The 24,811-nt window shown below is 43.4% G+C and overlaps 1 long non-coding RNA gene across 1 annotated transcript in view, besides 1 other annotated feature; it reads right to left on the reverse strand.

The window, feature by feature from the left end:
- The window catches only part of DYNLRB2-AS1 (DYNLRB2 antisense RNA 1), a 407,178-nt gene that overhangs the window by 168,285 nt on the left and 214,082 nt on the right, over positions 1-24,811 (reverse strand). The window lies entirely within an intron of this gene.
- Positions 14,454-15,616: an enhancer, noted in NCBI's record as "VISTA enhancer hs4". NCBI's record gives its function as "enhancer in: neural tube[6/10] | hindbrain (rhombencephalon)[10/10] | midbrain (mesencephalon)[10/10]" and the evidence as "EXISTENCE:transgenic organism evidence [ECO:0001131][PMID:17130149]".

Consider the following 24,811-nt stretch of genomic DNA (forward strand, 5'->3'; position numbering starts at 1 on the left):
AGGTGCTACAATTTCCCGGAGTCCTGGAGAAGACCACTTTTTGATCCCAAGAGGGACCCAGATGTCAGATGGGTCCTCTTGACTTCAGCAATTAAATACTGTCCATGATATATTTATTTCAAAACATATTTGCTAAGTGTCTACACTGCTCTAGGCACTGAAGATGGGGTGGTGGGGAGTAAGACAAATGTCTAACCATGGTGCTCATATTCTAGTAAAAGGAGACCAGCAATCGATAAGCAAATAAGTGAAACGTAGAAAAAGGAACTCCTGCAGGGGGCATGGAATGTATGGGAGGGAGTCAGGAGAGTGAGTGAGTGAGGCCATTCTTTGGAAGTCTGGCTTCTAATGGGGATGCCAGAGACATAATGAATGCAGCAGCAGGCAGGCAAAGGAATGGAGGTTCCCAGCTTGTTTATTTGGGAGATGGGAATAATTTGTATGTGCTCAGCTGCTGAAAGCTTTCATGAGAGGGGTTTCAACTGCAAAAAGAGAGGACGTTATAGATGGCTGAAGGTCCTGAGGGCAGGAGATGTCTAGTGTTGAGGAAGATCAAAAGTGGAGGAGGGAATTCCAGGAAAGGTGTGGAAGCTGGTGTATCACAGGCAGGAGCACACACCCATATCCTCCTCACTTTCCTCCGTTATCTATACAATAGGAGCAAGCTCTTCCAGCTGGGGATGGGTCAGGATCTGGAGGAGTCATCAAGTTCTCCAACTGTCATAAAATGGAGTTGAGAGTGGGACTTGGGGCTGGGGAAGAAGATTGAGGCAGAGTCAGCCAGGTGGAGGTTAGACATCTTGACTTCCCAGGAGCTAAGGAAACACAGAACTCCTTACAATGTGCTGGTTTTCTTTCAGGAGCTCCGCATTCAAATCTTGGCTCCAACACCCTGGACAGTGGACAGGTCTCTTAATCTTTCAGCGCTTCAGTTGCCTCATCTGTAAGTTGGTAATAACAAACTTCAAACTTCTGTGGGCTGCTCTAAGAACTGAATGAATGACTCCATGCTAAGTACTTAGAACAACGTCTGGTACATGGTGAGGCTTATTCAATGTCCATTATAACAGAGGGACTTACCCCCTCTGTTACTGCAAGTTTGGGATGCCTTGTACCTGCCAGGCACTGTTCCGGCTGTTGATAAAATTAAGACAAATATAAAGTCCTTGCCCTGGAGGAAACCGCAGCCCATTACAGAGCCACATATGCCAACTCAGAGGCAGAATTGCTGGGCAAAACAGCAAAAGGACAGAAAACTTGCTGTAGGCATGATAAAAAGTCCCCATCCTCATCGTTGGAAATGCTCTCAGCCCACATTTTAGCCGGATTAGCTGGAAAGTGAGAAATCATTTCCAAAAAGCCACAGGTGCCCAAACCAGCTCCTGTCCTTTCTGCATCCTGTTTCCAGGCCTGAATAGGCTGAGCTCTTTGCTGCCACACTGTCTAATTCTGCACCATTGAATTAGGGGGCTGTCATGACCCACCAAGGCTGTCTCCATCACTGTCTCTGCTCATCCTGACATCTGGTGTGAAGGCTGCAGGCAGCAGTCAAATGCTCCCCTTGACACACGCTCAGCTAACGAGCCAGCTGGACATCCTGAGGAGGATTCCCTCGGACGACATCCTCTGCAGACAGCCTGGAAACAAAGCTTCTGTGCACACTGATTTGAGACAATGCCGTCGTGCAAGGGACACTGTAATAATATTGCCTAACTCCAAATGGTCCGCTTAACCTTTCACCTTTGGGGGATTCACTCTCAGATTCACCATTCCCTAAACATGAACAAGTTTAGTACTATGTTTTGCAGCAATTGTCCAATACAGGTGTACATGGGGCAACAAATGATGATCTAATGCTTCTACTTCCCAGGTAGTTCAGTGAGGACCACTGAATGCATCCTGCTTGGAAGAACCCATGTGGGGTTACGCATCGCAACCACTCAGAAGCTCTGTGAACTTGTGCTCTGATTCTCAGTCTGCTCACCGCGAGATGGAACTAACACTTCTTCTCTCCCAACATGTCTGAGAAGACACAATGAAAAAATTCTTTGAGAAGCATTTGTTGGAAACAGTTTAGAAACTCTTCTTAGGTGCTGAGCAACTCTGGAAAAAGGAAATGCACATAAGAGGACCAGCCACCTAAAATCATTTCCTGACAAGGCAGGAAATTAGTGCACTTATTAAGAGCCTTAGAATTTCCAAATGGAAAGAACCTAAGAGACAGTGCAGATGCTCTCATTTAATCAAGAATCTCACTCCAAGAGGTTAGTGACAGGGCCAAGGTCACACCACAGGAGGATTAAAACTAGAATTTTGGGTCTCTAGGTCCTAGTCCTTTCACCACTGTATGGCACAGCCATGTCCCCACTTATCCTTTGGAAGTCCTTGTTGGAGCCATGTCTATTGCAAAAACTCAAGGGTTCGTCCAGTGGAAACCATATACAAGAACTGGGAGTTTAGTTCCCTGTGTCACTTGCTCTTGTTTGAGGACCTGAGTTCTATCCTTGGTTCTTCTGACTTTCTCTGTGATTCTGTTTCTGACAAATTGCCCTGAGGGTGGGCCTATATCCACACTATGCTTCACAAACACCCCCAGCATGTCCACATCTTTTCTAAACATGAGACCCTTTATAGCAATTCCAAACACAGTCTCACTGGAGTGTGGGGACCAAATAATTTGTGAGAATTACTGGGGGTTGTTCTGGGCATTGTCAGGTAATTATCATCATTCCTGGCCTCCAGGATGCCAAATAGCACCTTCCCCAATTGTGATAATTAAAAATGTCTTCAGGCATTGTTAAATGTCACCTGGGGAGCACTGCCCCTCTTAGTTCAGAACTGCCTAAGACTGCGATGCTTCCAGATTTGTTCTTTTTGCTTAGTCTTGCTTTGACTGTGTGGGCTCTTTTTTGGTTCCATATAAATTTTAGGATCTTTTTTTCCATTTTGTGAAGAATGATGGTGGTATTTTGATGGGAATTGCATTGAATTTGTAGATTGCTTTTGGCTGCATGGTCATTTTCACAATGTTGATTCTACCATCCATGAGCATGGGATGTGTTTCTATGTGTTCTTGTCGTCTATAATTTTTTTCAGCAATGTTTTGTAGTTTTACTTGTAGAGGTCTTTCACCTCCTTGGTTAGGCATATTCCTAAGTTTATTTTATTTTACTTTATTTGCAGCTATTGTAAAGATGTCGAGTTCTTGATTTGATTCTAAGCTTGGTCGCTGTTTGTGTATAGCAGAGCTACTGATTTGTGTACATTTATTTTTGCACCCTGAAACTTTGCTGAATTCATTTACCAGTTCTAGAAGCTTTATGGATGAGTCTTCAGGGTTTTCTGGGTATATGATCATGTCATCAGCAAACAGCAACAGCTTGACTTCCTTTTTGTCAGATCACAGGGAAAATCTCTCTTGCAACCTCCTCTTGAGCCCACTCTACCCAGACCATCCCTCCTCAGGGAAGGGGCCCAGAGATAAAGTTCTAATCTTGACTCTATCTAGTTCTCAAGCCAATGTATGGTCTTTAAGCTCCACGAAGGCTGCCTCCAGAGATGGCCTTATTGGCTTCAAACAAAAATAAACAAGCCTGGATGGGGCCCTAAAAAAATAAGTGATTACTTGCTATTTTTTATAAAAGTATCATTCCTGTCTGCAGGATACACAATAAACTTCTTTTGTGTTTTCCTGAGTCATCAAAAACTAGTTAATTGAAGACTATTTTCTGGTATCTTCTCTTAGGAATTTTCAAGTAATTTTTTCTATTTTTGAACATTAGGAAAAGGTGGTTATTTTTAACATGAAGTTGTGGGGGATGGAAAAGGTACCCCAAATAATATTGAACAATCATTTATTAGAAATTTACTAATTATTGTCATTATCATCATCATAATTTTTATTTTCTAGCTTCATCAAGAGAGTCACAATTCTCAAAAGCATAAGAGGCAATCGACTGCATCTAACGAGATACAACCAGGATATGGACGTCTTCTCAGTATTTCACTTCTTGTCGTCAATCCAGTGGAAACTCCAAAATACCACTGAATGAACGATTCTCAAGTCAACACTGAAGAACGCATCAAGATTTCCATTAAAAAAAAACAGAAAACCCAGCATGTACCCAGGCTTTTATTCATTTGTATACCTATAAGAAGCAGCTGCAACTTTACATACAAGTGATTTCTTTTTACATAAAATGTTTTTTGCCATTTTTAGTCACTGAAGCATTAAAAAAAATAAATACAGTGGAAGCATTTGAAAGGGCTTGCTTTAAAAAATAATTTCGTTGGTTTACTGAATGACTAGTTCTTGGTTTTTTGAAAAGTTTGTCGTACATCCTGTTCCCAATTCAATTTGCTTTTACCCTCATAGACCTCTGTGCTTTTAATTGCTACTCTGATTTTTGAGGCAAAGATTTCTTTCTCCTGAAGATGTTCTGCTGCCTGAGATAAATGATATTCGGGGATTTTGAAAGTACTTTTAAGCATGCCATTAAGAAATCTAAACATGAAGACTATGAACATCAGAGGCAAAGGTGTCAGCAAGCAGCCTGTTGTAGAAGGAGATTTGTCAGTCTACAGATGAGCAGATTAAAAAAAAAAAACAACAACAACAGTGTAGAAAGCACCATTCTATATCTCACTTTTACACTTGACTCAAGACTCCATATGGACTGGTCTAGTGGCTTAAATGTCCACCAAAGATATCCTTATTCTCCCCAAGCCAGCAAGCATCATTTCCTCCTGTATCCACTTTGCTTCACTCTCTCCTCTTTGCTTAGAAGTGGAGAAGGTCAGGACTCTACTTAATAAGTTAAAGTGCCTTGGTTGAATAAACTTAGGGCCTTCTAACTATTTCTATAAGCCAACCCACACACTTACACACACTTCTGTCCTTCCTTGATTGCCCAGGTTCTCACCTAATTGGCAAGAAGCAAGTTCTCTACTGATGAGTAACCATCATCCCAAACTGAGTAGGTTAGAGGAGCTTGTTCCACATACTTTATTTCTCTTGGTTCTATGGGTTGATGGTGGTTCTTCTAATCCAGGCCAGCTCATATGGGGTGAGTGATCCAGGCTGGCCTCATTCATATCTCTAGAAGTTGGCTCAATGTCAGATGGGGCAACAGGATGGGCATGCATTTGGCCACATGTCAACATGCATCAGGCACACCGGGGTTCTCTCACGTGGTGTTGCCTCAGGACTCTAGAGAACACCAAGAGGACAGTCTCAATGTAGTTTCCAGGCCTCTGCTTGCTTTAGGTCTGCTGTTGGCCCATTGGCCAGAGCAAGTCCTGAGGCCAGTTCAGAGTCAGTACAGGAGGTCACTACCCAAAGGCTGTGCTAGGAGAAGACAAATCATTTGTGGCCATTTTAAATCATTTATCACATTTAACAAATATTGTCAATTATCACATTAAATACTGTTGATCCTCATAATCCACAGATTTCATATTTGCAAATTTGCCTACTAACCAAATGTATTTCTAACCCCAAAATCAACACTCTCAGCACTTTGATGGTCATTTGCAGACATGCATATGACAGTGAAAAAACAGCCGCCCCGCAGGCACGTTCCCAGCTGCAGTCAAACAAGGCCATCCTCTGCCTTCCTTTTTTGAGATAGAGTCTTACTCTGTCACCCAGGCTGGAGTGCCATCACTTGATCTCAGCTCACTTCAACATCTGCCTCCCAGGTTCAAGCAATTCTCCTTCCTCAGCCTCCTGAGTAGCTGGGATTACAGGAGCCTGCCACACACACAGCTAATTTTTATATTTTTAGTAGAGATGGGGTTTCACCATGTTGGCCAGGCTGGTCTCAAACTCCTGACCTCAGGTGATCCGCCCGCCTCGGTCTCCACAAGTGCTGGGATGACAGGCATGAGCCACCGTGCCCGGCCTCAGGTTCTGCCTTCTGTTTCAGCTCTCATATTGCAAACTAGTAGCCTCCTTGCAATCTCTTTAGTGCCACGGTTTTTGCATTTTTATACTGTTTGCTGCTGATTTCACTGCTTAAAATGGCCCCCAAGGATAGTAATGAAGTGCTGGCCCTGACCACAAGAAGGCTGAGCTGTGCCTTATGGAGAAAATGCACAAGCCTTGCACAGACATGAGTTACAGCAGTGTCGGCTATGAGTTCAATGTTGATGAATTAAGCAGTCTTTAAACAGAAACACACATAAAACAAAGTTATGTATTGGATCCGTTGACAAAAATGTTGTGGCCAGAAGCTCAAAAGACCCTAAACCCTTTTATTTCCCAGGAGCAATGGTTCAGTATTTGCTAAGTGAATGTTCACAGTGACACTACAGAATAGACTTAGCTACCACGCATATCGAGAATCAGCTGTATTCATCGAGCTCCTTCTTCTGCCAAGTGCCATGCCTACAGCTGGGTGTTTGGTGAACTCCTGCTTTCAGGGAGCTTAAAGTTTAGTGAGGGAGGCATGCATTAATTAATGACACTAATGAATGTGCAGTTTCAGGCAAGTCAAGGAAGATGCCCTAAGGATGTGAAGTGCCAACCGAGACCTAAAGAATGAATGGGAGTTCTACAGCTCAAACACCTGGGAAAGAAGCTCTGAGCTGTAGATCTGAGCACAGGGGTGCAGTGGACGGCATCCTCAGGAACATCTCCTCGGTGAGGGAAACTGCATCAAGCAAAGGGAAAAGTGGCAACAGAGGCCTCAGCCAAGCCCACAAGAACTCTGGAGCTGAGCAAACTTGGCAGAAATGTCCCCGACAAGGCAAGAAGCCTGGGACTTTGTACCCTTACATCAACCAGTCATAAACTGATATGCAGTAGCTCCCTTCAGTTTAGGACAATCCATGGGGAAAAGACTCAGCTGTCAGCCAATGACAGTCATGGCAGTTTTACAAATGAATGCTTTACAAAGTGAGCACTTCCCTCCTCCCCTCCAGCATCCCTAAAAAGGCAGCTAAAAAGGAAGGGCAGCTCTGCCAAACAGGGGGGAAAAGCACGTGCAAAGGCCTTGTGGTTAGAGGGGGGCATGGAACATGTGAGCAGTGTGAAGAAGACCCACACATGGCAGGGGCCTGGGGAGCAAGTATTAAAACAAGTGTGGAATGAGAGGAAGCTGAGAACAGGCCAGGACGCGATCATGGACCCTCATAGGCCATGATTAGAGCTTTTATCCTCATCCTAACAGTAATGTGAAGTCACAGAGGTTTTAAGCAAAGGAAGCCACCTGCTTCAATGAAGAGAACAGAATTGAGCAGAGTGGGGAAAAGAGAGGCTGTGCAGATATGAGAAGTCTGGCTTGTGTGTATTTAACAAGCAGCTAAGCAGGTGAGAAGAAGTGAATGAAGGTGAGAGGTGTTTAGACAGTAAGTCAACAGGACTTGATATGACACAGATGTGGGCAGCAAGGAGAAGAGGCATCACAGACACTGCTTGGTTCCTGATCTTCCCAAACAAACAAACAGAGGTCCCTGTGCTGGGATGGAGACTTCCAAAAGAGGACTAGGTTTGGGAAGATGGCTAGAGGAGGAAACTCACATTAGAATCAGCCAAATTATACTCATAACAGTCAAATGGATATACCTGGCTGACACTCCAATTCACATGTTTGGCACTCAGAGATGTGGGATGAAGATTTAAATGTATGAATCACGGCACTGAGATGTCAATGGAAGTCTCAGATGGGGATGAGACTGTTCAGGGAGCAGAGCAGAAGACAAGAGGGCCTAAGACTAGGAGCCACAGACATTCCACGTTCAGTGGCCAGGTGACTAAGACAGAGGCAATAAAGGACCCTACAGAACAGCAAGACAAGTGGATGGAAACATGAGGAAAAGAGGACACAGGCCCCAACGAAAGACGGGGTTTCTATGAGCGAGTGGGCCAAAGTCAAGTGCTGCTGAGGAGGTGTGCTTGCCTAAAGACTGAAAACTTTCCACTGGATTATTAGCAGATAACAAAGTTCATGTCGGTCTCAATTGTGAGAAAAGAAATAGGTAGAATATTTTTTTCCATTTAAGGAAAGATAACTCTGGGTTTTAGAGAGACTAGCATCATCATGTTGCTAGATAAACTTGTTCCTTCTTTTTCTGCATTTGGCTCATGGAAGGAAAAGCTGCAGGAAATCTTAGCATTCAGAGAAATGATTGTATATGCTTTAAAGCCAAAGAAACACTGCCTTTGATTAGCTTGGAAACAGCCAGGTATCTTTTGCTAGAAAGAGGATCAAAAACTTGGAGAGAAACCAAATATATGGAATACTGAGCAAGAATGAGATACTCTCTGAAACCTAAGTTTTACAGATTTTAACACCAAATCCTCATGAGTTTTCAGTGAGCCCTACATTCATTATTCATTCATTCATTCTAAACTGACACAACCACATTGGAAATTATTATAACAAGATTCAGGAAAATAGTCCTATTCCTTATGGGAGTGATTCTTCTTCTATGAATTTTATCCAAGGATCTAATTTAACAAACACATAGAAAAAATAAAATTATATGCAGGCATTTATTCAATGATGATTTTCTCCAAAAGCTCATCTTTGAAAAAAACATAAATGTTCATTATTTGGGGAAAATTTTAATAAATATTTGTAAAGTAACAGGATGCAAATACTGGGTAATTATTAAAATGACTTCATAGTACCACAAGGGAAAATGTTGAAGTGAAAATAAAGTACAAAAGAGTAGGTTTGGTATTGCTTTATCTGTGTAAGTTATATATGGAGATAAAAATGAAGTCACTGAGTTACATAGTGAGGTCACAGATTTTCAATCTTTAAAGCCATTAATATTTTTGTTTTGTCTATTCATTTAAAATATGCAGAAGTAATATCTGTGAAAGTAGCACTGTAAGAAGAAAAATGCCTTCCGAAAGAGGCTTTGATGTAAAACTGAACAGAAACATAGCACTGTGCTCAGAATGAGATTACATCTGAATCCACATTACGATATTCAAGATGAATTAAATGGAAATGGCCTTCTCCATTGTTACCTTCAGCACTTACTGATGGGGGGACAATGATGTCTCCAATTTGCCTAAGTGTTTGGCATCTTTGAAACTTTATCATTCACATCACCTCTGCAAAAGGAGTCATTTTGTATTAGCAGAGAATCCCACGTAATTAAGCAGACAGAACCTACTTCTCCTGTAATTATACCTGGAGGGATTTGAATGTCCCGCTTATGAAACCATTAAGGAAGGTTACAACTTGGGGGTTGGCTGGTGGATCTTCTCCCCTGCTGTGACCAAGTGCCCGATATCTGGATGAATTTAACAGCTTCCTGAGCACTTTGCAACACTGCTTCCACGTTGAGAGAGATATGGGACCAAACTAGTACCTAGGGGGGCTTCTTCCCTCTTTGCCACTCCCTAGTCCCTGCTGTAGAAGTAGGAGGTGCTTTGTGGCCACCTCCTGGCAGGAAGGTCTGGCTCTCACAGTGGTCCGATATGGGGATGTTGGCTGAGGGGTGATGGATTCTGAGAAGCTACACAGCACTCCACTAACATTAAAATATCTCCTCTCCTTTTTACCTCCCTGAATCACAGGGCTCATTCTAGCTACTGTAGCTGTCTTCTTGAGAAACAAGTGATCATTAAGGCCTGGCATGGATGCTGCACCTTAGCTCTGGGTGTCTGCAAAAGAAAGGTGCCTCTTCTGTTCACAGAAAGAAATGTTTTGTTGTTGGTAATGAAATAGAAGGAGAAAAGACACACCGTAAACCGATGACCAGACACCAACTTCTTCTGATCGCTAATTGTTGATCCCAGGCACTCAGATTCTTATAGAATATACATGTTAGATTGAAAATAATGCTTGCAACTGACAATATCCACAGCAGGGAAAAGAAAGAAAATGTCCAGGTGGTGGTTCACGCCTGTAATCCCAGCACTTTGGGAAGCCGAGGCAGGCAGGTCACCTGAGCTCAGGAGTTTGACACCAGCCTGGCCAACATGGCAAAACCTCATCTCTACTAAAAAGACAAAAATTAGCCAAGCGTAGTGGCACACGCCTGTAGTCCCAGCTACTCGGGAGGCTGAGGCAGGAGAATTTCTTGAACCTGGGAGGTGGAGGTTGCAGTGAGCCAAGATCACGCCATTGCACTCCAGCCTGGGTGACAAGAGCGAAGCTGCATCTCAAAAAAGAAAAAAAGAAAACTTGCACCAAATGCTGCACCAATTCAATGAATATTCCCTGCCTCTTACATAGTGATGATCTGGAGTTGATTGTGCTGATACAAAAAGTCATTGTATTTGCAACAAAAACTATCCTTAGAGATTTGTGACTTTGGAGAACTAAGTATATACTTCAAAGATCTGGAAGCATTTGGGGGAAGCAGAGTGAAAACCAAATGTATTTTCAGAGTTTCTTTAAATTATCTGCTTCCCAAACCTTAAAGCTACACTCCTCCCCCAACCAAGAACCTATTTCCCAACACTGGACTGCAAATATCGGCATCTTAAATCATGGCCAAAGACCAGCCAAGAGAAGGAGAATCTCGTTTGCCAAAGTCTAGGTCTTGTTAAATAAATTCTTCCTTGACAGCAAAGAAAGCCCTGGCTAAGGAAATGGCTCCTTAAACATTTCCATTTAATTCAAAAAAGATTTACTATGCACCTGCTGTTGGGACTACACTCCAGGAGCTGAAACTGTTGGGGAGTGCATTTTCACGCATTTGGCTGAAAAAGGGGCAGCCGATTCTGCACCTCAAAAAGTATGTTAGCATCATCCAAACACTTTTCTGGATTTCCTCCATCTTCATCCTGCTCCTAAAGCCCATCCCTTTTATTCTCTGGGGCACATATTTCTGTCCCTCATCATTTCTGCCTGTTATAGACAACTTTGCCCTTTCTCATTTACATTTCTAGTATGTAGCCCTGCCCAGAACCCAGCCCAGTCCTCCCTGGCCCCCCGTCTCACTCAGCCTAACATTTAACATTCACCTCCCTACAGTCTTCTAATTCTCTAACCCTTCACTCATTTTCCACGTTGAATATCTGCCTTATGCCAGACAGTTGCCATCAGCACTGCCTCCCAACACTTGTAAGATCAGACACATGCTATGGGCAGTACAAGGATCTGGGCCTATGAAGGTTGCCCCAGACAGGAAAGATCTCACACATACACTCTGCAAGCTTATCACCTATCTAGGAAGAAATGCACCACAAATGATAGAACGGATCCAAAAAATCAGGACCCAAACCTGTGCTATCTATAAGAAATGAGCTTTAAATATAAAGATATAGATAGGGTAAAACAGAATAGATGCAAAAAGGTACCCCAGTCAATCAGTAAGCACAAGAAAGCTGTTGCAACTACAGTGATGTCAGACAAAATAGACAAATAATATTTCCACAGATAGAAAGGGAGCATTTCTATCTCTGGAAATATAAAGATCAATTCATAATTAATAAAATAAAAGGATCAATTAATAAAATAAAAGGATCAATTCATCAAGAAGACATATGAATCATAAATATATATGTGCTTAATAACAGAGCCTCAAAGTACATGGAGTGAAAAATTATTAGAAAGTCCTTGTTTCCAAAAAATAAAAAATGAGTATGTTGGTTACTATCACGCCTACGGCCTGACTACATTATCTGTCTCCAGGTGGTTTTGGCCAGAGCTGACTTCACATGTGGCTCCTGGGCAGACCTGTACCCCAGGCCTTTGCAACCAGCATGTGACCCATGCAGAGTCAATGAGATTCAATCGAGGGCTTAAAATGTTTTTTGAACCATAGAGAAAATCAATGTAGTGCTGCTCCAGGGGAGCTGAGAACTGGAACGATGCTACTAGCAGCCATCCTTCCTTTATGAGAAAGGGGCCGAGATCAAGGGAAGCAGAGCAGAGGAAAGAAGTCCTTGACACCATTGTTTAAGTCTCTGAATCCAGCCATGCCTGAAGTCATAACCCCTGGACTTTTCTGTCCTGTTAGCTAATAAACTCCCTTTTTGGTTTAAGCTGGTGTATTGGGCCATTCTTACATGGCTATTAAAAATACCTAAAGCTGGGTAACTTATACAGAAAAGAGGTTGAATTGGCTCATGGTTCTGTAGGCTGTAGAGGAAGCATGGTGCCAGCATCTGCTTGGCTTCTGGGGAGACCTGAGGAAGCATTTACTCATGGCAGAAAGCGAAGCAGGAGCAGGCACATGACATGGCCAGGGCAGGAACAAGAGAGAGACTGAGGGTAAGTGCCACACACCTTTAAACAACCAGATCTTGCAAAAACTCACAATCAGAAGGATAGCAACAAGCTATGTGAGATCCATCCCCATGACCTAAACACCTCCCACTAGGCCCCACCTCCAACACTGGGGATTACAATTCAACATGAGATCTGAGCACGGACAAACATCCAACTCTATCAGCTGGTTTAAGTTGAGAGCACTTTTCTTCAAACCAGAGAGTTGCAATTAATATATCACATTAACCCCCACCCACAGACACACATACCAACACTCTATACACCTTGTCCCCAAGGATAAGCTCCACAGTTGAAAATCTGCTTTGAAAGTGAATCTATGTGATGGATGAGATGACAGTCAATCCCTTGGGGTGGGGTAGGGAGTGATGCTGAGAATCGCTGCTGCCTATGAAATGCCTGGATTGCGTCTGTCACGAGAAGCAGTCCTTTGCTTCCTGGTTCCGTCTCCTTTAGGTGGGAAAAGAGTAAAATAAATAAGAACAGGTTGAGAATTTCAGAGATATAAAGGATCTTAAATCTCCTGCTCCAGAATTCCTGAGGAGCAGTCAGGGAGGTGCAGACTGTATGGATGGGAAGAAAATGCTGAGGGGAAGTGAGTTTGGGCCAGACTCCCTGTTACGGGATGGGGTCAAGGCAGAGTAGGTGGCACCCCAAGCAGAATCTGAGGGTGCAGGTAGCAGCGAAGTGGTCAGAGCGGTGTTTTCAGAAGTGTAATGATGGATCTGGCTTCCTCAGTGCAGCCTGGCAGCACTGAATCTAGCAGACACCACAGGATGGTAGAGTTGACAGGGAAAGAAAGATGTTGATGAGACAGAGGTTCCATGATGAGCACCTTTAAGATGAAGTAACCAATAATCAAAGAAAACAAACACCTAGGTAAAGGGAAGCCTGGGCGTGAATTCAGCCCCCACTGCACAGGCAGGCACTGATTGTCCACGCTACAGTAACAAAATCAATTGACTGGGAGTTTCCACTGCCTGGAATGGCTGCCAGAAGATTTTGCACACATCCCACCTTATCTCCAAGATTATTAGCTTAAAAGGGACAAAAGTCTTCAGTGGAGCTTTGATGGCAAAATTCTAAGCCTGAGTAGGTTGTAGAATATTTCAAGAAAAGGGCCTCCCCAGTGCACGAGGAAATTGAAAAAAACTGCCCCATAAAAACAAATGGCACACACTTTGCCACTCTATGCCTAGCCTGCTTATCTGTAAAATGGGAACTCACTTTGTAGGTTGATGGGGAGATTGAACCAGATGACCCTGTGAAGGGCTACAGCTTTTCGCAGACACTCTTGCCATTTTTCTTGAGACCCATGCCAACAGGGTTGAGAGTTCTCACTACTCACTCCATAACAATTATTTATCAAATAGCATTTGTTACCTAAACAATAATCTAGTGTTCCTGGTGGCCCGCCTACCACGAAGAGAATGTCTATGTGCCCAGCCTCCTTCTGTTCTGAGATTTTAGCTGGAGGTGATAAAAAAACAAACAAACAAACCAGCAGCAGCATGATCGGCCCTGCTGAGGGGAGGGTTCCAGCCAAAGGAATCACCAGCTGTCCTCCAGGAAAAGTGGCCAACCTGACAGGGGAACAGGGAAACACACCCCACGCCCAGCCAGTCCATTTTTCTCACTGGGTATCTTTGTTGATGGTTGAGGTTTATGGAGTAATTTGGGAATGAATGGGTGATCCCCTCGGTAGCACCTCTACAACTGCCTGAAAGGCTGCCAGAGCCCCACCCACAGCTCTCAGTCTCCATCATCATCATCACAATGTACCTGTTGAGTACTCAGGTGCCCAAGCACTGTGCTAAATACTTTACTCACTGGCTCCATTTATGCCTTACTGCAACTCAACGATGTCCGAACTATTATTGTCTATGGATTCTGAACTCATAGTTCAGTGGGGAAATTGAGTCAGAGACAGCTTAGATATTCAGTTCCAGATGATAGACTTAGAAGAAGCAAAGCCTGGACTACAACTACATTTGCCTGGCATAAGAGCCCATACTCTGAAACCACAATATGTTCTCTTCTTTCTCTCTGAGCCTGAAATTCAGATGCTGCTAGCACCTTTCTCCACTATGACCAGCTCATCCTGCAAACTCTTGCCGTGCATGGCTGGAAAGTGTCCACTTTCAGCAAGGACCAGAAACAATCCCAAGGACCATTGAAAAGAACTGTCCCCTTACCAGACACAACCACTCTTCTTCTCCCCATCACAATATTTGTAAATGGGTGTGTGAGTGTGTGACAGAGACAGACAGTGACAGAGACAGATTTTAGAATTTGAACAAAGGTAAATAAGAGAAAATTGGAATTCACAAGATCCTTCAGAATTGGGTCACCTCAAGGTGGGAAGTCAAACCAGCTATTCTGCAAAGCCCTGTCATCACCTTTTGCAGTTCAGTAGCAGAACCTGCACATGTGCCTCCAATCTGCTCCCATTTCTGTGTATTTAAATAAACTAAGTCAGGCCTTTTATGCCCTTCCTCTGCCACATGCTTCTCGTGCATGAGATCAGAGGTATTTGACACCATGTACTCCTGTCTACTAATCTAGCCTCTGCGAGGCAGCGATGATAAATATCATTGCAGCAGTTCTCATTAGGACTGTTTACCATGTACCATGGACTGCTACATTTATTTTCCCCACCACTCTTTAAATATTATTTTTCTCATTTTACAGATTAGGGAACTGTAGCTCAGAGAAGCTAAATAACTTTCCCCAAACCACACAGCTATTGAAGTGACAAAATTGGAACTCTTATCTGTCCAAATTCAATGCCTATATCCCTAACACCTTTAATAACACAAGATATGAGAATATGTGACTGTACCTTCACATTTGTAGATCTAAAGTAGACTTTGAGGAACTAGACTTCACCTACCCACCCCAGCACAGGAATCCAACTAGTTAAATGACTCTGATTTTACTCTAGAAAGAAATAATCCTAATACCAAGACTCTTCAATTACTCTGTGCAATTAAGTCCTGAGTGCTTGTTTGAACAATTAACTGAAATAATTATAAATGTATCTCTGTTACTACAGTTGCATATTAACAAAGGCTCAGGGCCAATTAATCATTACTCCATCAATATCTAATTTGCATAAACCTATTCTCTTTAAAGACTCCATGGTTGGGGTGACAGGGCTCCCTCATCGATTATGGAAATATCCCCATCAAACTTCCCTGAGGCCGTCAAAAGGAATAAAAGGGGTTGTCTGTCCTCAGCTGCTCAGTACCCCTATCCAATCCTCCCAGGGGCAGGGAAGGATGGAGAACAAAGGGGAAAAGATACAATTAACATGCACTTCTCCACTGGGAGAGGGACTGACAGGGCTCAGGTTATGAGGATGATGGTCAGAGAGGGGCATCTAGCCCACCCGAGGTCAGGGGAAAACAAGCATGGGAACCTCTTTTGGAGTCATCCAAATTCATTCATTCATTCAACAGATCCATCAACAGATATTTGCTTTCTGCTGTGTAATAGGTACTTGGGGCTGCAATAATGAATGAGCATCTTCTGGGTTCTCACTGAGTCAGGTAGACAACTAACTAGTCATCAAGAGGGTTTCCTAAAAACAGATACCGAGATGGAGTGTGATGTGCAAGATGCTTATTAGGGTTCAGCACCTGTGAAAGGAAGGGAAGGAGCATGACTGGGCAGAGGGAGAAGGTAGGGTGTGATGCAGGCTTCACAAAGCCTCAGCCCACCTGGTGTGGGGCTCTAGGGCAAGCATACCTGTCAGAATTAGCCCGAACCAGGTGGAAATGGTGGCTTTGACACCCCACCTTGCTCAGGCACTGGAAGTGGGCTGCCCTGGTGGAGAGGGCTCCCTGCAGCTGAGGGAGACCAGGAAGAAGCCCATGGTGGGCTGTCTACACTTCCTCCAGCTGGGCATCCAGTTCTTCCCTGAAAGAGGATTTGGGCTGTGCAGCTCTATGTCTGCCACAGTGGAAAATCGCTAGAGAGAATAACAACACTCTGAAGAAGAAAAATGGTGCCATTGCAACAGAGAAGGTACCCCTCGTGCCGGCCTAAGGGGCCAGGAAGTCAGAGTAGGCTTCTTGGAGGAGGTGACTTCAAAGCTGAGATCTAAGAAATTAGCAGACCGTAATCATGCAAAGAGGATAGGGAAATAATGTTTCAGGCAGAAGGAAGCACTGAAGCTTAGGGTCTAAAGGGTTGTTACAAAAAAGAACAAGATTAGGCTGCAGACACAGATGTAGGTTACTGTTCAGTGTTGATTTAGCCCAACCAGCACTAGAGAATGGAACCATTGCCCAGAGTTCTCTCCTCCTCTGTAATCAGATTTTCATTCAGATGGGCACTGCCATTTCTCAGGAGGAAGGCAAAGTGAGAAGACATCACCATGGAGATAGGCGTGGCAGGGCCATGACACATTCAACAACCTCTCTTCCGAACCTGAAAGTGAACTGTGCTGTTCAGGTTGTTTATATATAGTTGTAAATAGGCAACACTGTGACATTTTTAAAAATAAACTATTCCAATTTTGTTTAGGGTTTTTCTTTTTAATTTGCTATGCATCAATGGCTGTGTCTTCAGAGTTCTGGAAGATAATATTTCATTTAGCAAGCAGTCACCAAGCTCTCCTGGGTGCCATGTGCCCTCAGTGTTGCAGAGATAGATGAGACAAACTCCTGATCTCAAAGAATTTAAAAGTCCTACTGCAGTTACAGAATATTGCAGAGAAAAGACTGAATTATTGACATTAAGCAGAAAATGACAATTGCTGAAAAGAGCTATGGATAAAGGGAAAAAGTGACCAATGCAGAAAATATAGACAACTATGGAAATCAACTGTACAGACTATGCAAATCAACTACACAAACTATACCAATCAACTTTTTTCCCTCTTAACTGCTTGAGAAACTTTGTGCCTGCATGGTTGTGAGTGTGGCAGGAAGAGGAGGAGGAATAGAAGAGGATTCACCCCCGTGTGTGCAGGTAAATGCTACAAGGTGGCCACAGGGGGACAGTAGTCTCTGTCCCTGGGAGGAGAACTACTACCATAGCAAAGGCGTCATCTTAAACAGCCTCGACAACTCAAACACAAGGATAAAAATAGAAGCCCCAGAAGGATTTAGTGAAAATAAAATGAAACCTGAGAGCCCCAGAGGCAACCCTGGATTTGCTGGAGAGGCAAAGCACAGTGCAATCTGGTGGACCCCAAGGTCAAGGGCAGGAAGCATTATTGCAGGTGAGAGCTTAGGAAGGGGCCTCTTGACCTGGCCCCGGGGTGGACAAAAGGCTAGGAGAACTAGATGACAATAATGATTTTAACAAGGATCAGGCTTCACTCAGTGGTCTCCGATGCTGTGAGAAACTCTTACTCTTGCAAAACCACAAAACCTGCCTGACTCAGGAAAGACAGAAGGAAAGAGAACGCTTTACACAAAATACAATTCCAGATCCCTCATCGAGAAAAAAACTCCAAATGATTCCTTATAGGCAAGGCCCTGTAGCAGACACAGCAAACAAAGTCTTCAAAAAAGCCTGGCCCCACACAAACACTTCTGGATAAGCATTTATGGTAGGCCTGCTGTATGCACAGCATCAGTACTGTTCACTTCAGCGACACCTCAACTTCATCCCAAGCACATGGGCATAAAGAAACAAAAGAATGCCTGTCACTGAAAAGCTCATGAGCTATTTGGCAGAGACCATGCATAACCTAAACCAGCGACTCTCAACCTGGTTCTTCATATGAAACAGTTGGAAATCAATTCCGGGGCCCCATCTGCAGATCCCCAGACCTATTGAATCTGAATCTCTGCTAGAGGAGCCTAAGAACCACTTGAAAGAGAAAGTTCTCCAGGTTGTGCTAGGGATTACCTGGATTTAGGAAAATATGCAACATTTTTTCAGAGAGAACATCTCCCTTCTTAACATTTTTCTAGCTCAACACCTTGGGTCTTTAATACACAAGCTTCATAGGATGCAAATATTTCCCAATATAACATCACTGCACTAATGTTGGTAAAGGAAAACATATATTTACATCCCCAATCCTCAGTGCAATATAGTTTTTAATACAATATGCAAATAAAGAATTGAGTGTCCTTCCAAATAAAATCAGTACAACGTCAGAATAATATGTAGCTATTTGAAAGCTGAGGGTCAAAAACAGAACTTGAGTCTCCAAATGTGGCCGGCGCTAAGAAGTATACCGTAGCATCACTGCAGAAGAGGTGGCTGATTCCTAGCATCCATATTAATTGTCTGACATTTTGCAAGCAAAGTTTTAAACATTTTACATTCTAACATATCTTGTTCCATATATAGGTATTTTACCTTGTCTTAGTTATGATTTAAGAAATTTGTTAAGGGTTCGGGGCTACTGGTTAATGCCATATAATTGTTCCTATCTAAAATAACTAGTTACAGGTGCCAAGTTAACCGTTTCAGACAGAATGTGTGAGGTTGGGGCATAAATTATTGACGCTAAGTGGGAGATGACTATAATTCAAGTCTAATGTGGTCCTTGCAGCTGCTAGGAGCAATATTCAGCACAGGGGGAGACCCACTCTACCTGTGTGCCCCTGAGAAACCACTGTGAGGCCCGTGAAAATGGCACTAGGCCTCAGCAGATGGTGAGGTGTTTTCCAGGCTGGAAAATGGAAAGAGGAAAGGAGATAAAATTTTAGGAGGAGAAAGAATTCCACGAGAAAGCAGAGATGTTTGAAAGAGCTTGGTACTAGCTAGAGAATCTGACTTTGTGTATCTGGAACTTAAAGTGCATGTGAAGAGCTGAGAAGAAAGGAGACTGGAGGCCGGGCATGGTGGCTCACACCTGTAATGCCAGCAATTTGGAAGGCTGAGGCGGGTGGATCATCTGAGGTCATGAGTTCGATACCAGTCTAGCCAACATGGTGAAACCCCCATCTCTACTAAATATAAAAAAATTAGCCAGGCTTGGCGGTGCACACCTGTAGTCCCAGCTATTCAGGAGGCTGAGGCAGGAGAATGGCTTGAACCCAGGAGGCACAGGTTGTAGTGAACCAGGATAGCCCCACGGCATTCCAGCCTGGGCGACAGAGCAAGACAGAAAGAAAGAAGGAAAGAAAGAAGGAAAGAAGGAAGGAAGGAGGGAGGGAAGGAAGGAGTGAGGGAGGGAGGGAAGGAAGGAAGGAAGGAAGGAAAGAAAGAAAGGCAGGAAAGAAGAAAGGAAGGAAGGAAAGAAGAAAGGAAGAAAAGAAAAGAAAAGAAAAGAAAAGAAAAGAAAAGAAAAGAAAAGAAAAGAAAAGAAAAGAAAGGAAGGAAGGAAGGAAGGAAGGAAGGAGAGTGGAAAAAGAGGGATGGGTAGGTCATGCATTCATTCATTCATGCATGCATTCACCATGTGTTTAATGAGCATCTGCTATGTGCCAGGCACTGTTCAAGGCACTGAAGATACAGAAAGAAAACAGACAAACCAAAAAATTCATCATCATGATCTCTTCCCTAAAATAGCTGAACACTCAGTAGGGGAGAAAGACATTAAACAAATGAACACAGATGGTGCTTAACGTTATATAATGTGGGGAGAGACCTAAAGTGGTTTTGATGATCACAGGCAATTTCCCTGATAATTTTTTTTTAAGCTGGACTCTGAAGGTCGGGTCCCAGCTTATTAGGATAGGATACTGAATCCTTTGAATGTTTCAAATGAGTTCTGGTTTGGTTGTGTATGGGAACTATTTCCCATTTATCCATTTTTTTCAGGTTTTAACATCCAGAAGGCAAAAATGGGTTGCCAAGGAGCCATAAGAGATGTGTTTGAGACAAATAGAGCAGAGAGGTAAGTGAGAGGCATAGGAAGGGAGGCTGTTGATGAAAAACCAGACATAAAGAGAGGCAGTTTCTACAGTGGCTGTGGCTTAGCCCATTTGTACCAGTGCTGTCTGGCTGTGGCCAGCAAAGGCCTCCATGTAGTCTGCATTCAAGGACAGGCAGCATAAAGCACAAGGTAACACTGATGACTTTGTATCTGGAAATGATTAATATTCCACTTTGGAGAGCAGCTCAGAGTAGTGCCATTCTTCTCAGCTCCTGAAAAGCACGGGTGGTCTCAACTGGACCTTGGAGAACATGAACACCGAGTAGGTGGCATTTGCACACTTTGGCTCCCCAAAAAATCCATCAAAGCATTTTAGAGACTGTGAAGTCCATGAAGATGGTTAGGTCTCACTGTTCATTCCATCATTCATTCCACAGTTACTTTCTGAGTGGCTGCTATGGGCAAGGCACCGTGCTAGGAGAGGGTAGGAGGGAAGACATGAGAGGAAGCAGGAACTGCATGTGCAAAGGCCCTGAGGCTGCAAGGAGCACGGCAAGTAGGACAGACCTTAAGAAGGCCATTGTGGGAGACAGCCAAGGAGGGAAATCCTTGAGAGGAGAGGGGAGAGAATGGGCAGAGCCAGGTAGGCCATCCCATGCACAGTGAGATTACACTGAAGAGTTTTCAGCAGCCATAAGTTCAACCAGCTTTGTTTCCAAAATATCATTCTAGCTGTACCATGAAGAGATCAGAGGGTAAAATGAGTGGTTGCAGTAAAAGCCAGTGAATTAAGAGACAAATTCACCCATTACACCAGGGGCTAATTGAGTTTGGACTAGGGAAGAGCTATTCAAACCCTAGTTTTCAGCCCAGCAGTATCACCACACCTGGGAGCTTCAAAAATGCAAATTCCCAGCTCCTACCTAAACCCACTGCATCAAAATTGCTAGGAGTGGGGCCCAGGAATGTGATCTTCAGGTGATTCTTGTAACTCTCAAGTTTGAGAAACACTAGACCAGGGTAGCAGTGGCCCTGAGAAACACCGTATGAAGACGTATCTTGAAAAAGTAAGTGGATCGATAAGAAATATGAGTACATTTTGATAAATCTATAATATAGAATATTATGGCACTATTAAGAATTAGATGATGTATACACATACAGAAAGATACTTTTGATGTACTATTACATGAAAAAGGAAAATGCTGGAGAAAGAGTTTAATAGTTTATTAAAAATAGGAAGACATGCCTCTAGCCCATATGTGTATATATTTGTATGTTTATGTAAGAATATAAAAAGCTACAGAATACCATATATCAAAATGTTAACATCAGTGCCCTAGTAGGCAGGGAGTAGAGAAGGATTGAAAGTGATTATTTTCATTTTTATATATAGTTTTTCTTTTTTTGTTGTTAAAAACAAGCAACTTTGTAAATGCTTTTATAACTTAAAACTAAAACAAAAGTTTTGAATTATACAAGTATATAAATATACTCCTCAATAATTAAAATGCAACTAATACAGCAGTCATGCACACGCTGGGTGAGGGGCCCCAGCAGAAAGCACACTGGCCTAGGAATCGAGAGATTTGCCTTCTAAACTGGGTTCTGCCCTGATTCCTGGCTGCTTCCCCTCCTTGAGCCTCTGTGAGATGAGACAGCTGTACTAAAGCTGGACCCCCATACTTGTCCTTCATTACCATTTTTTTAAGTTTTTTTGTCTTTATGGTTCCTGGGTTTAGAGAAACGATCCCTAAACTAAGCTTATTATATACTCAGGCCTCTCTTTCCACAGTGGTCAGTAAAATATCAAATTTCTGTTGGGCTTTTTAGACTGTCAAAATTCAACCAAATCCCTTTTTAAGGGGACGACTGAACAAGAGGATATATATCTAGGGCCTTTTTCAGTCAACAGCATAAACACTCCTGATGCTGTGATTTTTCTTAGAACTTCCTGTGAAGAGTGTGGTCACTGGCAACAGGCAAAACAGAACATCACCAGGCTTCATGCACTATGCTCATCCGGGCATGAGCAACACAACAAAAGCCTGCAGAGGTGCCTAGCTGTCCCCAAAGCATCGGTGTCAGGGGGCTGGGGTGGGGGAAGGGGAGAGAGGCCTTTGAGTGCAAGCAGCATTCTAGGCTCAAAAGAGCCAACTGTGCTGACTCAAAAAAAAAAAAAAAAATTTTTTTTTCAAAAATGCCTGTGGGTAAATTTGAGCTGCCCACAGCTCCCCAGGGGCATCTCGAACTTGCTGTCAAGCCATTTCTGTGGATTTCAGTCAAATTCTAATTTTAGTGTTCATTAAACACGGGTAATTCCCCAGCCGGTCCCTGCCTCACCTCATACACAGAGTACATTGGCAATATAGGTCACCCAGGCTTCGAAAGCACTCCCACATCAAAGAGAAACCTTTTCATTATAGGCATTAACTTTATAAATAATGAACTTTAAAAAATTTTCCAAAGCTGTGGGGCAGGCATGAGGAGAGCTGGCATACTCCTTGTGAACAAGTGCGTGAGTGTGGTTTCTTTTGGAGGTGACCGTTCATGAGGTTTCCGCTCGGGGAGCTGGTATGGTGTGAAGAGGTACCTGCATCTACTCCTCCATTTGGAAAGATATTTATTTAGACTAATAAGATGGGACACAATTATAATGTGTAATATTGGAAAAACTCACACAGGCAAATTCGTGCACGTGTACACACACATCCATCCACTACGGGCAGAGCCATGTCTACACACAACAAACTGCATAAAACAGCATTTTATGCCTTTCTTTGCTTGTAAACACTATTTCTTATCATAGCTGTATCAGTTAATATCTTTTTATCTGAAAGTAACTAAAACAAAAGCATGCTTAAATCCTAAGGATATTTAATATTCTACCCAACAGCCCAAAGGTGTTGACTCAAATACTAGCTGAACAGCCTCACCATCACGAAGTGGCTGCTGTGACACCAGACATCACTTCCTCGAACAAGAGTATTCATGTGACAAGTCTCAATGGTCACATTAGGCATCAGAAATGTTTTCTTCCCTGTTAATACATTTGCATACGTAGTTCCCAGCACCTTAACAAAGGTTCCTCCTTTTCTGTGCTCAGTTAACACCTATCCATTTCTTAGGACTTAACACAAGTGTCAGCTCCTGAAAGACCTTGTCCACCCTGACTGTTATCCACCCTGGAGTAGTCTACCCTGTCTGTCTCATTTTGTTCCCTACCATCAAAGCTTTTCTCATTCCTCCATATAATTGTGTGTTTACCTGCTTTACTCAGGACATTGTGAGCTGGATGAGACAGGAACTGTGATTTGTTGGTCTCTGGATGTCCTGTGCTTTACCCAGGGCCTGTTCCTCTGTGTCTCTTGACTGAACAACAAAAGAGAATTGTCCAGGTGCCATCCTAAGCTCAAAAAACCAAACCCCTATGCATGGGGCATGGATTCAGTGAGAGAGACCAGACCTGCCTTTACCAAGGCACAGGTGGGGAGCCCAGTTCTGCAGATGTGCATTGCAGGGACCTCATCTAGAATACTAGAGAATGGCTCCTACCTGCCAAACTCCAAGAGATTAACACATTCTTTAGGGCCCAGAGATTATGACGGGACTTCAGAGAAGCTGTTAGAAGAACATGGGCACAACTAACCTACACTCTGAGATTGTGGTGGGGTGTAGGTGACCATCAGGGTAGACAGAGAAGGAGGTTTCATCTTTTTCTCCATTGGCACCCCCTGGTCAGTTTCCAAGAAAGGGCCTGGTTCTGCTGCTGGGGGCAGGACACATCTGTGGTGGCAGCAGGCCCAGGGAGCTGGCTCAGGGCCTAGTAGCTCTTGGCAAGTCAAGAGGAACAGGGTGGGGAGAGCCATTTTCCCCTCCTCACTCCTGGCCTCACAATCCTGCAAAGGCCCAGACAAGGCAAGCAAACAGAAACCAACTCTCTGAAAGCAACGGGCCAGGCTGGCCTGGGGCTGCAGACGGCTTCAGGGCAGCGAGAAAACCCTGGAGTATGAGAGGTGTGGCTTCCAATCCAACCCAGTGCAGAGGTGAGCAGGTGGGAAGATGCCACAGAATGACCACATCTTCTCAGTCCCAAAGAGGCAGCCTTGGGGCAGAGCCAAACCCTGTGTTTGAATCCTAGCTCTGCCATGTAGAAGATACGGAGCCTTGGGGGATTTATTAACCTCTCTGCACCTCGGTTTTTTCATCACCAAAACTGGGATAATAATACCTGCCATGTTAGGTTGTTATGAAGATTAAATGAGTTAATATCTTTAAGTGCTTACAAGAATGCCTGGCATATAGGGCATGCTATCTATATAAAATATAAACAATGAAGTGAGATAATTCACTAAAACATCAGGGAACAGATAAGCCTAGACCTTCCAGTTTACCTGGACTTTGGATGTTAGGCCCTGTCCACACAACACAAGATGAAGCGAAGAGTTAGAAGCCACTACTAGTTAACCTGGTTAATTAAACCAGGTCAAGAATGCTATGCACCAAGCATGCTACATCAGTGCCTGAATCATTGTTATCATAGTTTTCATAAAATTGATGGTACCTTGTTCCATAATACAGTTGAAAACGAATCAGTTCAGACCTTATACATGAGCTAGAGCTCAAAGGGTTTGCTATTTGAATTGTATTGCCACGGACCAGGTAGAAGGGAAACAGTTTTTGTGTCAAAGATTCATAGAATTGAGGGTATAAGGATGACTAGACTCAGACCAAATGTGAGGTCCAGAGCTCACCTGGAAAACCAGGCCCAGGATCGCATGGTGGTGGGCGCCTGTAGTCTCAGCTACTAGGGAGGCTGAGG

Source organism: Homo sapiens, chromosome 16, assembly GCF_000001405.40.
Source record: "Homo sapiens chromosome 16, GRCh38.p14 Primary Assembly".
Lineage (NCBI taxonomy): Eukaryota > Metazoa > Chordata > Mammalia > Primates > Hominidae > Homo > Homo sapiens.